Source organism: Homo sapiens, chromosome 4 (genome assembly GCF_000001405.40).
Source record: "Homo sapiens chromosome 4, GRCh38.p14 Primary Assembly".
Lineage (NCBI taxonomy): Eukaryota > Metazoa > Chordata > Mammalia > Primates > Hominidae > Homo > Homo sapiens.
In genome coordinates, this window is record NC_000004.12 from 40,840,320 (window position 1) to 40,856,522 (window position 16,203).

General features: G+C 44.9%; 1 protein-coding gene across 55 annotated transcripts in view, besides 3 other annotated features; it reads right to left on the reverse strand.

Annotated features, from left to right (window-relative positions):
• APBB2 (amyloid beta precursor protein binding family B member 2) overlaps positions 1-16,203 on the reverse strand; it is a 404,516-nt gene that overhangs the window by 30,293 nt on the left and 358,020 nt on the right. For 27 of the 55 annotated variants that reach the window (XM_047450169.1, XM_047450164.1, XM_047450184.1 and 24 more), the window contains one exon: positions 2,051-2,056. The exons of the other annotated variants lie outside the window; for them this stretch is intronic. In XM_047450169.1, coding sequence (XP_047306125.1) covers positions 2,051-2,056 — 6 coding nt within the window. The remainder of the gene's footprint in view (positions 1-2,050; positions 2,057-16,203) is intronic. 55 annotated transcript variants of the gene reach the window in all.
• Positions 270-359: an enhancer, noted in NCBI's record as "active region_21502". NCBI's record gives its function as "activates an Ori minimal core promoter by ATAC-STARR-seq in GM12878 lymphoblastoid cells {active_cell/tissue: GM12878}" and the evidence as "EXISTENCE:reporter gene assay evidence [ECO:0000049][PMID:35858748]".
• Positions 380-479: an enhancer, noted in NCBI's record as "active region_21503". NCBI's record gives its function as "activates an Ori minimal core promoter by ATAC-STARR-seq in GM12878 lymphoblastoid cells {active_cell/tissue: GM12878}" and the evidence as "EXISTENCE:reporter gene assay evidence [ECO:0000049][PMID:35858748]".
• Positions 631-1,132: an enhancer, noted in NCBI's record as "NANOG hESC enhancer chr4:40842967-40843468 (GRCh37/hg19 assembly coordinates)". NCBI's record gives its function as "activates a minimal SCP1, AML or CMV promoter by ChIP-STARR-seq in primed H9 embryonic stem cells {active_cell/tissue: H9 hESC(primed)}" and the evidence as "EXISTENCE:reporter gene assay evidence [ECO:0000049][PMID:30033119]".

Here is a 16,203-nt window from a genome sequence, read left to right on the forward strand (position 1 = left end):
GGAAGAATGAGTCCTGTTTTCAAGACTGGATGCTTTTATTTTCTGACTGCACTTTGAAAAAATCTTGTTTTGAGAGTGGGAGGAATCAGGAAGCGAAAGTACGTAAGAAACTTCATCTTTCCAGATGGCCAATCCAGAATGACCCCCCGCAAAACACACACATGTAAGACTCTGGTTTTCTGTTCTTTTTAACCCAATGTCACATGTATCACATGCAGGCATCACTAATTTCACAAAGTTCAGGCTCTCGCTTGGTAAGCTTAACTTACTTTCTCCTTCTTTGCAAGCTTAAAAAGATGCTAAGTTTTTTAGCCTCCGAAAGGAGTATCCCAGGTACTCGTCACCTGGGTAAACACACAGGCTTAGCAGGGAATTCTTCACCAGGCACGCTCATGAGACACAGTGTGTAAATAGCAGATCTGAAATTCTACCACCTGCAATTATCGAGGTGGCTTGGGCAAACTAGAATCTGTAGCCCTCTCTAGAACAGGGTCCTGGTGTTAATATTCAGAGCAACTGCCTCCCAGCGAGGACACTCACATAAACAAGGAGGATAGGAACTAGCGAACACCTGAAAATGTCCTCCCCATTGACTCTGATGGGACTGGCTGTTATTTTACATGAAGGAGCTCACATCCACATGCACAGCCCTCATCCTCCAGAACTTTCCACCACCTGCCCCCGCCAGGGTCTCCTCAAAGTGATTTAAAAAGTCAGTGAAACCTGCAAATTCTCCTAATCACACTCTCTGGAAGACCAGCCCTGCAGGTGTCACCGCCCACTCTATGCTGTCTCTCCCTCTTAACCACTGGACTATGACAGCAGCACATCACAGGGGAAAACAGCCACCAGCAGAGGGCAGTCACAACACCAGTGTGGCAGGAAATACCAGCTGAGGACTCATCACTTCCAGCTCCCAACCAGGCAGGGAGGTTACATGACACCAACTCCGACACAAAGAGGAGATCTGCCTTCGTGTCTCTCCGCTTTGCCCAGCAGGAACCACCATCATTCATTCAAGGAGAATTATCTCCAAATTCCCTTATTCCATCAAAAGTGGAGTTTTTATTAAGTGGTAGAGCTATGGAATCATGGAGCTTAAAGTCCCCAATCAATCAAACGGGCAGGCGGACATGCAGAGCATTGGAAAAACACAACTGAGGTCAAAATCTCTTGTTTCATAGGTATGTCTTTTCTGTGGTTCTATCCTTCTTGTGGTGGAGAGGGAGGACCATATATTTTGGCTAATAATTGACACTGAAACTGAATCAGTGCTTCTGGCTAGGCTAGTAGCCTAGTGCCAACCCTTACCAATCAAATTCTAGAGAATATGTAATATAAGCACTAATATTATTTATTTATTTATTTATTTATTTAGAGACAGAGTATCCCTCTGTCACCCTGGCTGGAATGCAGTGGTGCCATCTTGGCTCACCGCAACCACTGCCTCCCAGGTTCAAGTGGTTCTCCTGCCTAGGCCTCCCAAGTAGCTGTGATTACAGGTGCCCACCACCACGCCTAGCTAATTTTTTGTATTCTTAGTAGAAATGAGATTTTGCCATGTTGGCCAGGCTGGTCTTGAACTCCTGACCTCGAGTGATCCACCTACCTCGGCCTCCCAAAGTGTTAGGATTACAGGCGTGAGCCACCACGCCCGGCCATGATATTAATTTTTCCAGAAGCATGAAAAGCCTCCTTCTACAACATGGCACATAACCTATTTCCATCACATTCACTCCCTGCCACACTGATGAGATTTTTCTCAGTCGTTAGTGAGTGACCACATTGGTGTTAGACTTAATCACTCAGCCCATCACCTTCCACAACCAGGGTCAAACACAGTAGAGAATGAGGAACGCAGATGCAATTCCAGACTCTGTTTTAAATGCTGGTGATAAGAGGCGAAACAAAACAAAACAAAACAAAAGTTCTGCCTTTCAAAGACAAGGATGGTTGTGAGGATGGCAATGCGACATGAAGAAAGCAAGTGAGCTTTGCCAGACACGTTAAGACACCACGAAGGGGGGAGAAGTGAAAATCGGCCGGTTACCTCTCTCTGAATCCGGGAAGGCGTGAGGGAACAGAGCAGAAACAACACGTTAGCATTCACACGGCATCCCGCCAATAACACAGCCCCGTTAACAGCGAGTCTGAGCACTGACAGCTCATCTAATTTCCCAACTCTGCAGCAATTAATAGGCTTTCCGTGCTTATTTTAGGTCAACTGTATCACCCAGAAGTGTGTATTTTGAGCCACATTATGATGAAGCCAAGAGATGCCAGCTGAATTTACAGAGGCAACATATCAACTGGGGGAGGTAATCAAGCTTAAAATATCACAGTCAAATACAGGAAACTGTTTGCAGTAAACACTGGCAGAGGACGTGTCTTCATTTTCCAGTTCCACCTGCTCCCAATAAAAAACATACAGAAACAACGGCATGGACATAGCCTTACCTGTTTTACCGACATTCCTGACACTCTATTAACAGAGCCACATCACTGGAATCCAGGCACTTTTCCTGAGATGCATCCTTACAGGGCAACAGGGAGGGAGGGAGGCAGCACAGGTCAAGGGCGGGTGGGAAGTGGGAGAGACAGGAGATGACAGCTCAATGGGGGAGAGATCAGAGACGTCCCAGGAAAGAGAGGAATGGAACGGAGAGAGGAACACAGTGCAAGTCTGGTTGGGGCCACACTCTTGGAGTTCCCTCCCTGAGCTACCCAGAGCTGTCCTGAGCTGCCTGGGACCCTAATGAAGTCACTTAATCCCCTGACCCATGGTGCTCACACCATTCCTTTCTGGCATTGTCACAGCCGATTTGCATGCACCGTACACAGAGCAACTAGACCGAAGAGCATGGAGCACTGGATAGATAACGAGGAGGAAAGGAAGAAACCCAATGTTTACAGAAACCCGTTCTCTCGGGCACTCTATGGCCAGGGTCATGGAGCGGCCAGCAGGGCCCTGCAGGGATGGAGCTAAAATCATGGCATGAAACGCCAAGTGCACCAGACAGTGAACCACAAAGTCATTAAGTGGAAAGGAAGAGCTGCTCACCCTGAGGCGGAACAATGACCATGGCACACTAGTAAGTGGAGCAAAAACAAAGCCAAGCTGTTTTTATAAAACAAGCATGGTCTTATAAAAACAACAAAATGTTTGCATGTGTATTTTAATATATACACAGTAAAAAACTTGGAATATAATACCCGAACTGTCAACTGTAATATGGAAAGAGGATTATGGAGGATTTTACTTTATCTCTTTGAAAATTATACAATAAGCACATTTGACTTTTGTGATAAAATATGCAAATATCTACCTCAGTACTGAAGGAAAGCCATTGTGATCAGCATGCCCCAGGGCAGTTAACAGGACTAATATTAATGATTACAGTAACACCAGCCACCAATTACCCTTTATTGAGCTCTGTTTGGCCCCTAACAGTAACTGGACAAGGTCAGTATTACTGTTCTGACAGATGAGGAAACAAGTTCAGAGAGGCTAAGACACTTGGCCAAGGTCACACAGCTACTACATGGGGAAGAGAGTTTGACAGTAGGCTGCAGGACTCGAATTCTAGTCTTAGATGCACCCATGATGGGTACTCCACCCTTCTACACAGTCCTGCAGAGCCCCCTAATGGTTTGTCTCCTAAATGGCAAACACAGTCCCTAGGCACAGGTATTCAAGGTAGGGCCAAAGGGTTTGGCCAAGAACCTAGGGTTTTAGAGGAACAGGGAACATTCCTCTCTTTTGGTGAACTTTTGTAGGGAAAGAGGTGGCTAAAAATTCCTAAGAGGATCTTTGGGCTGAAGAGGCAGACACAGCTGTGCTCAAATCCAGATGGGTAGCCACATTCCTTCAAGTACACTGCTTACCTTCTCTTTATTTACCCAACATAGATTTCCAGGGCCCCTCTGTGTGCCAGGCACACTGTGTTACATGGTATGCCCCACAAAACCTGTTTCCTCATCATTGAAGAGGGGATAAGGACACCTGCTCATGCTCATAATGCTCAGGGGCATTATAAGCATGAAGTTAAATGGGACGACACGTGTATGGGAGTGCTGGGCATGTAACAAAGCTGCAATAACCTGCAACGTTAACAGCTATTATCACTGTGTCATCCAATAGCTTCATCTCTTCGGCTGGGTTGTGCTGGGCAGCATTTGAGATGGACTGTCTCCCACGGAAGGACAGTCACCTGGGGGAGTGGCAGGGGCCCTCTGCTCAGGTTTGCTGGACCCCAGCTGATACAGGATGCTGGAGAGTCACCCCTTGGCTCAGGTCCCTCTGTGCTACTCGGTTCCACCTATCAAAGCCAGGCTTGGGTAGCAATTTACAAGATCAGCAAAGGACCCAGAGACCTGGATGCTGGTCCCAGTCTGAATCCACAGCTGGGTAACATTATGCAAGTCACACAACCTCCCTAATTCTTGGGTTCCTAATCTCAGAATGGATGTGCTAGGAACTTCTTAGTGCTCAGATTTTTATCAGAAAAGGATATGTTAGTGCTTTGACTTGCTTTTAATTACACCAAATGTTTTCAATTTCTTATTTTTAATAAAAAGCCTATCTGTAGTGTGTGACAAAAACTTTAAAAATCTAACAATCTGAGAATACAACCTGTTTCTTTTGTGTATAATTATTATTGTAGTCTTGGATATTTTAAATCAGATCCACTGCTAGTGATTCACTTAAAAACATACCATCAAGATGTAGCTACTGTGTTTTTCCCTGAAAGCAGACTTGGAAAAAATGCTACTGCAAACTTTTAACACAGTTAATTCATTTGGAGTTAATAAACACTGCTTGATTTAAGTATCAAAGTGAAAACCAGCCATAAATAAGACACCGCAGAGTGATATTTGAAATGTCATTCAGAAACCCAGAAGAGTCACAGACAGTGCCAGCAGCTCCACCAATTCAGCACCTTGTAAATTTGCTGGGAAGAAAACATCAGTCCAAAGCTGGGCTTCTGCACAAGACAAACCAGTCTGAGAGTGGAGAAGGCTAAATTTAGTGCCAGGCGTAAGTCTACTCCCTTCTCGCTGTACAAGATGCCAGTGGGAAGAATTAAACCCCAAGATTAATTCCACATGAGCCGCACATCCCAAGGCTGCCTGATCAGCATGCTCTCCGTGGCTGTTCCTTGGGAAAATAAATGCCGGAGTAATTGGCAATGTTTTCATTAATATAAGCCTGAAATAACAGAAGTACCTGGCATGTGTAACTGGAATCCAAATGAAAAGGAAATTCCTCAAAAAAAAAAAAAAAAAAAAAAAAAAACCAGCACACCAGAATGACAATGTCTATTCCAGCTTTTTGGAAGAGGACGCCATCTCCTGTTCCCTGGCACAGCCACCTACTTCTCATGCTGCGCACAACTGTCCACTTTTCACAAACTGAGCACGCGAGGCAAGGACTTGCCAGTAGACTTCTCACTCCATTTTTGCAGAAGTCTCTGTTGCATGCTTCTTTTTGATGTTTGTCTTTCATCACTGGCCATCTCTCTAGCCTTTTGAGCACACATCACACCATTATCCACAGGACAATGAAGTAAACACTGCAAAACTTTACATCATGAAAATTCTTGCACCAGCTCCTGAGTCTGACAGTTTATTTTTTCCCTCCAGCTTCAGGGGTGGGTAGGTGGGTGTGGGTGGGTGGGTGGGTGGGTGTGAGTGGGGTGTGTGTGTGTGTGTGTGTGTGTGTGTGTGTCATTTATCAGCTGTCTGCCCTTGGTCAGGGCCCTTAGCCTCTTTGTTTTTCAGTTTCTTCATCTGTGAAATGGGAATCATAGAGGCCTTCAGGTCCTGAGAGTGCCATAAAATTCCATTATTTAATCCATATAAAGCTCCTACAGGATGGCGGCTTGAGTATGGCCTTACAGTGCAGGCCAGGCCAATCACTATGTGAGAGAGGGAAGGGGAGCTCCACGAGGAGAAAGGAAAGGTTCCTGACCTGTTTTGGATCAAGGCCCTCGGATGAAAACACTCCAAAAAAAAAAAAAAAAAAAAAAGTGCACAGACTCACAATTTTATACACAATTTTGGAAGGGGGCAGAGCTGGAACAGTTCAGTGATTCTTGAAACTCAATCCCAGGTCCCTTTAGAATCTACATGCCGCAGGTGAAAGGCCTCTGAACTGAAATGAATACTGAATTTATGCAAATTTACCATCTGATTTCTGGCTGATATTTAGAGAATTCATCTCAGGGAAAGGTTCTATCCTTCCCAGGATCAACCGGTGACATGAACAACCGTCTCTGACCAAGTGTGCCTTCCTTTCCAAAGCAAGCTCCCCTCCCACCTCACTGTCCTGCCCAGCAGCGCCATGATGGGAAAGTTAGACTTCCAGCACTTAGAAGTGTAAAGCCAGGAGTTAAAGTGGTTGAGGTTATTGAAATTCAAGGCACATTATTCTAAACAAAGGACTTTCTCATGCCATTGGAGGGAAGACACAATAGTTACCAGCCTGCTTACTAATGAGGAGGAGGGAAAAAGGATATTTAAAAGCAACCAGGAAACGAGTATTTTTAAAAGTCCATCTTTGAAGACTTTAAGCAAGAATTAACGAGCTTCAGCTTTCATCTGTGCTATATCACAGATTAAAAAAAAAACAAAAAACCAAATGCAAAAATCTTGCATCTCTGAATATCTGAGAGAAGAATACACACACAAATTATAGTTAGTTATTAAGTGAGAGATAATTTACACCATGTTCCAGTTTCAACTTTAAAGTTTAGGGTATAATGAAAGGATAACGTTATATAAATTCTACCTGAACTGTGAAACCATGGGTTAGCTTCCTTTCTGAAAGCCAAGATGGTAAAACAAAAATAAAAAATACCAGGTCAGGCATGGTGGCTCACACTTGTAATCCCAGCACTTTGGGAGGTTGAGGCAGGTGGATTACTTGAGGCCAGGAGTTCAAGACCAGCCTGCCAACATGACGAAACCCTGTCTCTACTAAAAATACAAAAATTAGCCAGGCATGGTGGCGCACACCTGTAGTCCCAGCTACTCAGGAGGCTGAGACGTGAGAATCACTGCAACCCGGGAGGTGGAGGTTGCAGTGAGCTGAGATCGTGCCTCTGCACTCCTGCCTGGGTGACAGAGCAAGACCGTCTCAAAAAAATAAAACAACACGAAACACCTTGACACCAGAAGGCTCCTATCTGACAAAGCACAGGAACGCATAAGGATTTAGAACTGATTCTGAGCAGGGAAAATGACAGCACAGTGGTTTCCATGCCAGAATGCCATGAGGGTACAAACTCCTGGCAAGGTGCAGACAAGCCTCCTACTTAAAACCACGGTGAGCACCCAGCCACATGGAGGACCTCTTGTGGATATGGTGAATCACTTTCTGAATTTTCAAGGGGCTTTCTTTGTGCCAGTTCAAAGGAGTACTAGGGTAGATAACATGGAAAGCCAATACATATGGCCTTCATTTGAATTGTTTGTTGTTTTTGCTTGCTTTTTTTTTTTTTTAAGAGATGGGATCTCGCTCTGTTGCCCAGGCAGGAGTCCAGTAGCACGATCATAGCTTACTGCATCCTCAAACTACTTGGCTCAAGCAATCCTCCGGCCTCAACCTCCCAAGTAGCGGGGGCTATAGGTGTTTGCCATCATACCCGGCTAATTTTTTATTTGTTGTAGAAATGAGGTCTCACTATGTTGCAAAGGTTGGTCTCAAACTTTTGGGCTCAAGCAATCCACCCACCTCAGCTTCTCAAAAAAGTATTTGGATTACAGGCATGAGCCACTATGCCCAGTCCTGAATTTTGTTAACTTCCATCTAGATACAAGTATTTCTGGTATAATGTAAACTCAATAATATCTAAAGAAAAGCAGACACCAACCCTAGGAAGGCTGATTACCACTAACCAAGTAACAGTAGCGGCTCCTGGCTATGATTGCTTCTGTCTAGCCAGGCTCTATTCTTGCTGCGCACTGTCGCCAAGCCACACAATAACCTTGCAGGGGGAAGCATCACGACTCATTTTACAAATGAGGAATTGAAGGGTCAGAGAGTTTAAGTTGACTTGCTCCAAAGCCCACAGCTAGCAGGTGGTAGATCTGCAAACAGAACACAGGCCTGCTGGCTGGGCTCTTTCCTGCCGTGTAGCTCTGGGGCACCTAGCACCTGAGCCTGGCTCCCTCCCAGTTAATTGGCTCTGCTCAGGACCCCATCCCTCACTGGAGGTAGCCTCTGCTCTGCCTTTCTCTCTCTGTCCCCATTGGACTTTTGGTTCCACCACTGCTGGAGCTCGTGATGGTAATTAAGTGCTGTGTTTGGTTTAAATTACCTTCCTTTCATCATCTGCTCAGTAGCCACTTATTCCATGACTCCTCTGCTTACAATTCCCAACCCCCACCCGCCCCACCGCCGCAAACTCCCTGCCTCCAGCCACACTGGGACCGTTTTGCTCCGAAACATACAAGCCCGCCCCTGCCTGGGCTTGCTGATCGGCTGCTTGGTCTGCTTTTCCCCCAGGTCCTCCCCTCATCATCCTGATCATCACTGCCTCCAAAAGAACCCTGAGGATCCCCCAGTCATTGTCAACATTCACAGCCATCTGAAGCTACCCTATTTCCCTCTCTCCACCAAGAAAGTAAAGCTCATGCGAGCAAGAACCTTTCTGCCTGTTCACTTACCACTGTCTGGCACATAGTAGGCAATCAATCAATATTCTTGAATATGTGAATAAATACCTAAGTAGGGGAAAGAGTGAACTCCCTTCTTCCTGATCAGGTTGGTAAGAAGCTAAGGGAATGATGCCACAAACAGTAGGGAGTTGGCTGGATTCCTTTTTCTCCTGCTATTGCTCATCACAGACAGCGCTTTTAAAATGACTTTGGTTCATATCCTGTTTTCATGTCAGCTGAAACAATGTTAATAAAACATATATTTCATCTGAACAGGCAGGAGGCAAGTTCTGAGAAGATTATTAATCTCTTATGACTCTATTTAAAAGCCAAGCGAATCTATACTCTGATCATCTCCAGCAGAAACAACAACAATGTTGCCAGAGCTCCTAACTAGATTCCTTCCTTGGAACATTTGTCTAAATGAGAAATAGCTCCTCTGCTCCTGAAGAAATCAATATATAAATTTCCCTCGTATATTGATTTCTATCAAGATTTATCCCCAGATAATTTTCTTTATATTTGTACTCTTAAGAGAAATAAACCTCTGCTTATCATTTAGGGAAAAGACCCAAGACAACACATTCCCATACCTGCTGAGGCAGTTATGGACTGAAAAGCTGCCCTTTGGGGAGCCCACAAAGCATTCCTCCCACCCCCTCAGAGGTACTAGTGTATAATGGCAGGAGTTAACTTCTTGATACAGTTTGAAAGAATATGTACTCTTCCTGTTTACTAAAGTTACTTTTTTTTTTTTTTTTTTTTGAGACAGAGTCTCGCTCTGTCACCCAGGCTGGAGTGCAGTGGCACCATCTCAGCTCACTGCAACCTCTGCCTCCCAGGATCAAGCAATTCTCCTGCCTCAGCCTCTCGAGTAGCTGAGATTACTCGGCGCCACCACACCCAGCTATTTTTGTATTTTTAGTAGAGACGGGGTTTCACCATGTTGCTCAGTCTGGTCTCAAACTCCTGACCTCAGGTGATTCGCCCGCCTCGGCCTCCCAAAGTGCTGGGATTACAGGCGTGAGCCACCGTGCCCTGCTACTCAGGTTACTTTTTATAGGCAGTTTGTCTCTTTGTTTCAGCATCATTTTTCCTTTTTTGTTGAATATGATGAAGAATCTTTAAAAAACGAAAACCACAACGCCACTGCTGTAACATCCTGCTTTGTTTTTGTTAAGACACGGAGTCTTAGATGCTGTCCTGGCTGGACACAAACTCCTTGACTCAAGTGATTTGCCCACCTCAGGCTCCAGAACAGCTGGGACTACAGGTGGGGACCACTGTGCCCGGCTTTGTAACACCCTATTATTATTATTTGAGTTTGGCTTCCTGTTATTGTCCATATTTGACAACTATAACAAGTATGTCATCTTAAAAAAGAAAGAGGCTCAAGTGTAGAAATACCCCAAAGACCCTGACCTTCTGCAGGAATTCTCTTTGGGGGCTAATTTTCAACACAACACAAAGCTGGCCAAAGATGACTGAACCTTCTTACTTCCAAGTGACGAAATCCCTATTTGAATTGTCATTAAAGGTTCTGTGCAGGTCCTTCAGATCAGGGATCAGCAAATTATGATCCCCCCAAATCTCAGACTGTTTTGTGAATGAAGAGTATTGGACCACGGCCACACTCATTCACTTAGGCAGAGGCTACAGCAACTTTTGTGCCACAGCTGCAGAGCTGAGTAGTTGCAACAGAGGCCACATGGCTCCAAAAGCCTCAAATATTTAATATGTGGCCAGTGCCCGGGAGTTCGAGGTCAGCATGGACAACACAGTGAGACCTCAGCTCTAAAAAAAATTTTTTTAAATAGCCAGGTGTGGTGGTGTGTAAAGTGTGAGTCTCAGCTATTCAGGAGGCTGAGGCAGGAGAACTGCTTGAGCCCAGGAGGTCAAGGCTGCAGTGAGCCGTGATCACACCACTTGCACTCCAGCCTGGGTAACTGAGTGAGACCCCGTCTCAAAAAAAAAATTTTTTTTTAAAACTGGCCTTTTACAGGAAAAATCTGCCAACCCCTGCTCTAGAGGACAATCTGTTTCAAGGGTGCAACATACGATGTGGACAGCACTGGCTAAACACTTCGTGGAGCCCAGTGCAAAATGAAAATGCAAGGCTGTCAAAAAAAACAATGAACATTTTCAAGATGTTAACAGCAGAGTGTAAACCAATTGAGGGACTCTGCAACTGGCTGAGATGGTAGAATAATTCTCGTTACAGGTGACAAACTCCCAGGGCTGGCTAGAAACTGTTCCACCAAGATGCAAGAGTAAGAGCATTTACAACCTGCAAGTGCTTTAGAACCAAACAACCTTTTGCTCAATTTAAATCTTACACGGATGCCCAACATGTGAAGCGGCAGCCATGTGGACGTCTGCCCCAGCCATTTTATTTCTAAAAGGTCACTAGCAGATGATGGCTCTTACAGTGTTTTAAAAGGGAGGGCGATGAAAAACAAAACACACCAGAATCCTCGAAAACAGCATTTTCAGGTAACCTGGCAAACAGATGCATGCTCTGATACGACAGAATCAGGCCAACTTGGCCCCATTGTCAATTGTACTCTCGGCTGCTGCTTGTCCTCTATCATAATTATTCCAACTGCTATAATTTATTCATCCCCAGACAAGCTTCCATGTTATAAGGTACCCAGATTGAAATGGCTGGAAGCTCAAGTCACTCCTGCCCTTTCCCATCTGCTGAAAATACTGACTGCAGAAGGAATATTTTCTATGCATATATATATATATATATATATTTTTTTTTTTTTTTTTTTTCAAAACCAAACCAAAGTTATCTCAAAACTCAAGTTCTCTGACAAACATGTTGTTAAGCTTTCAAGTTCACAATTCTGCAGCTGGAAGAAGGGGGCAGAGAATCCTATCAGAAACTCAGTATTTAGTTCTACTTTACAGCTATAAGGAAATGGCTTCTCTAGCTCTCAAAATGCTCAGTGAATTTCCTGCAAAGTTACTAAGAAAGTTACCCTCTTTGAATTGAAATACATATGGAACAAATTTTATATTTATGAGAGAGTATCAATTGTTGGAACTACAGAGGATGCTGCATGTGAAGTAACTTCAAATGTAATTACGGGGCCGGGCGCAGTGGCTCATGCCTGTAATCCCAGCACTAAGGCCGGTGGATCACTTGAGGTCGGGAGCTCAAAACCAGCCTGGCGAACATAGTGAAACCCCGTCTCTACTAAAAATACAAAAAATTAGTGGGGCATGGTGGTGCATGCCTGTAATCCCATCTATTTGGGAGGCTGAGGCAGGAGAATCGCTTGAACCCGGGAGGCGAAGGCTGCAGGGGGCCGAGATCGTGACACTGCACTCCAGCCTGGGTGACAGAGCAAAACTCTGTCTTCAAAAAAAAAAAAAAAAAAAAGTAATTATGAATGGATTCTTATAAACTGGGAACAAAGGTAGAATAATTCCATATAAATTAAGGCTTAAACCCATCTTCTCTTCTTAGTCTGATTCTTTATTTTCATGCCAGAACAAAGAAAAATGCTCAAAGGTCTCATAACCAGTTGAGAATGACAGAAAGGGTACTGAAGGGTGAAAACATCTTGGAAAAATGGCCAAATACACAAGATTGCACTGGATGGATACGTCTGCTCATCTACACTGGAGAACCAAAGAAAAGAAAGTCAAAGTCTTTTTTTTTTTTCTGAGACAGTGTGTTTCTCTGTCACCCAGGCTGGAGGGCAGTGGCGCGATCTCAGCTCACTGCAACCTCCATCTCCCAGGTTCAAGAGATTCTCGTGCCTCAGCCTCCCTAGTAGCTGGAATTACAGGCATGTGCCACCATGCCCAGGTAATTTTTGTATTTTCAGCAGAGACAAGGTTTTGCCACGTTGCCCAGGCTGGTCTTAAACTCCTAGCCTCAAGTGATCCTTTGGGGACACTCGGCCTCCCAAAGTGCTGGGATTACAGCATGAGCCACCGTGTCTGGCTTAAATCAAGGTCTTGATACAACATAAATGTAAAGGGAGTTGTTCCATGGCTTAATAACTTTGTCCTCGAACAGTTATTACTTCTATTAGCATGTATTTTCTACAGACATAAACAACGCATCAAAGAAATCAGGTATGGTCCTAGATCACACCCCTTCCTGCATCTTCTACAGTCAACTTGGCGAGTTCAACCTCCACATTTCCCCCACCCACCTGCTTCTCTTCATGCCCTCTGCCATGTCACTGATCTCTCCTGGACTAGGGCTAGCCAACTGGTCCCTCGTTTTCCACTCCTGTTCCCAATATCTATTCCCTGAGATCTTTCTGTATGAAATAAACTAGATCATGGCATTCCCCTGGTTAACCCTCTTCACGGGCACCTCATGGCAAACCTTTAAGCACTGCCCACAAGCCCTAAAGGATCCTGTCCCCACCCACCTCTTCCAGCACAAACCACTGGCCTCCTCTTCATCCTCAGGCACGTTGAGTGCTCCACTTCCTCAGTGCTTTCCTTCTTTTTTTTTTTGCGATGGAGTTTCGCTCGTTGTCCAGGCTGGAGTGCAATGGCATGATCTCGGCTCACTGCAACCTCCGCCTCCTGGGTTCAAGTGATTCTCCTGCCTCAGCCTCACGAGCAGCTGGGATTACAGGCACGCACCACCATGTCTGGCTAATTTTTTTTTTTTGTATTTTTAGTAGAGACAGGGTTTCACCATGTTGGTCAGGCTGGTTTTGAACTCCTAACCTCAGGTGATCCACCTGCCTCGACCTCCCAAAGTGCTGGGATTACAGATATGAGCCACCACACCCAGCTGTTCCTCAGTGCTTTCTATTCACTCCCTACATGGCTGGCTTCTTCTCAGCCTTCAAGCCCAGCTCAAATGTTGCCTCCTAGGACAGGCTGCCTCCTGATGGCCCCTTTCCCCTCTGAGCTACTCTGTTGCATCACGCTGTTGATGGTCTTCAAGACACTCGGCATAACCTGTATCATCTTGCTTCCTGAATTGTTTTTCCGGCTTATCTCCTGCCTCTTCAAACAGGGACCTCATCTGTCTCAGTCCTTCATGCTGCCTCACAAGGTGCCTGACACATGGATGCTCCTTATCTGCCGAACAGCATATTAACCATTAGACTATAAATATTAAGCACATGGATGGTCAAAATTAAACCCTAAAAGTAGACAATGAAGTATTTTCATCTACATTCATTCATCTGCCCATTCATCAACTGGGTTATTTATGGAGGGCATCCTATACTAGGTACTATGTTAGGGCCCGAGGAATCCAAAAGTCTAAGAACTCCTCAAATATGTCATATTCTGTGTTCAACACAAGCTCTTTAAAAAGACAAGTTACACTACTACTTAGTATGTTTTTCTGTGATCCTAGAGATTTGTGAAAACCTAGATAAGAGGTTATATGCCATCAGTTTACTCCCAAAAACCCATGAAACGTATATGGAGAGTAAATAGGGACACAGTTAAGTCATCTCTTAACACTCGGGAGCCTGGACAGATGTAAAGCTTTGCTCAGCCAGTGGTACAGAATGAAATTCATTTCCTAGGCCTGGCGCGGTGGCTCACGCCTGTAATCCCAGCACTTTGGGAGGCCGAGATGGACAGATAAGCTAATGCCAGGAGTTTAAGACCAGCCTGGCCAACATGGCGAAACCCTGTCTCTACTAAAAATACAAAAAAATTAGCCATGTGTGGTGGCGGGCGCCTGTAATCCCAGCTACTCGGGAGGCTGAGGCAGGAGAATCGCTTGAATCTGGGAGACACAGGTTGCAGTAAGCCAAGATTACGCCACTGCACTCCAGCCTGGGCGATAAGAGCGAAAGTCCATCTCCAAAAAAAAAAAAAAAAAAAGAAGAAAGAAAAAGAAATTCATTTCCTAGGGGGGCTGTCCAAGAGGAAAGCTGTATAGGTGAGACAAGGAGGCTGCATGACTGATAGTTTTGTAACAAACTGGAATTACCCCATTGAAATCAACAATGCCAATGTTCAAACTCTTTAGAACTCAGCTCTGCCCCTCCTTGCAGCTGCAGGCTCCTTTGAGATCAAAGTAAGCAAGTTCAAGATGACCGACTTTAGTGCCCAATGGCCCACTGGTGTGATTAATACTTCCACCCTTGGAGTGCAGATGACCTGAGGCCCCTCGTTGTTTGCGCCTACTGCCACATGCTCAGCTGACCTCCAAGGCGGCCATCAGCAGCAGTATCTTCTTGTCTCACCTTGGTGTCATCCACACTGCTTCCCAGGGATGCTCCAGTGCAGAGAACCTGCAATGGGCCCCACGCCAGCATAGTGTGAGCTCCAAGAAAGGAAGAAGACACCTGTTGTATTTATTATGCCACTTAATCACCAGCACCAATGCCCAGCACATGGCAAGTGTCCAATAAATACTTATTAAATAAATTATCCCCATTGCAGAAAAGCTAGAACTAAACAACGTGGCGGCTGTTAGAAAAGTGTGTTTCTCACATCTGCAAAGTGAGAATGATAAAATGAGGCCAGGCATGGTGGCTCATGCCTGTAATCCCAGCACTTTGGGAGAACCGAGGCAGGTGGATCACCCAAGGTCAGCAGTTCGAGACCAGCCTGGCCAACATGGTGAAATCCCGTCTCTACTCAAAAAAACAGAAATTAGCCGGGTGTGGTGGTGTGCACTTATAGTCCCAGCTACTCAGGAGGCTGAGGCAGGAGAATCACTTGAACCTGGGAGGCAGAGGTTGCAGTGAGCCGAGATTGTGCCACTGCACTACAGGCTGGGTGACAGAGAGGGACTCTGTCTCAAAAAAAAAAACAAAAAAAAGGAAGCAAAACGGAAAGTAGGGTTCTTACTGAGCTACAAACCATGACACCTTCTTTGATAATACTGGCTGATGCTTTATGGAAAGTCTTTCCCCTCTTAAGCATTTCATTCACACTCCCTTTTACTTATAACTTTTACAAAATTACAGACCACATTTACAAACACATTCTGCTTCTAACTTCTTAGGAAAGGCCTCAGGACACTTAATAATTCCTTTCTGAACTCAACTAACTAAAAGGCAGCAGCAAGGATCTGAACTTTAGAGAGAATCTTACAAACTACTCTTGTGTAAGAGCTCGGCTGGAGGAAGGGCCAACTGCTCAATGGCCTAAGAAAACCTAAAAGAGAACAGCATGAGGAAAGCAGGCAGAACCCCCATTCATGATACAAGTCAAAGCCAGGCTGCAGCTGCAGTTATAAAAAGAAAGAAAAAGACTAATGGGATTGCCCCCTCCTTCCGCCTTCTCCCACCCAAGGCAGTAATGAAGATTCACAGCTACACATTAATTAGGAATCCATAGACGTGCCTGGTTACAATATTGGTATAGGGAAACAGATAATAGAAAAGGCACAGATTCCCCCACAAGCTAATAGAGTGTTGTAAGCAATATTTAAATCTTCACGCCTTTCTTTTCAAAAACACTACTTCTTTCTCAATGCCAAGAGCTGGCTGCGTTTCTACATTTGGGGAATTTGAGATATTTTCTCGCATGGAAGTCACACCAATATCCTAAATCGTGTAACTAAAATCATTTGGAAATGCACAG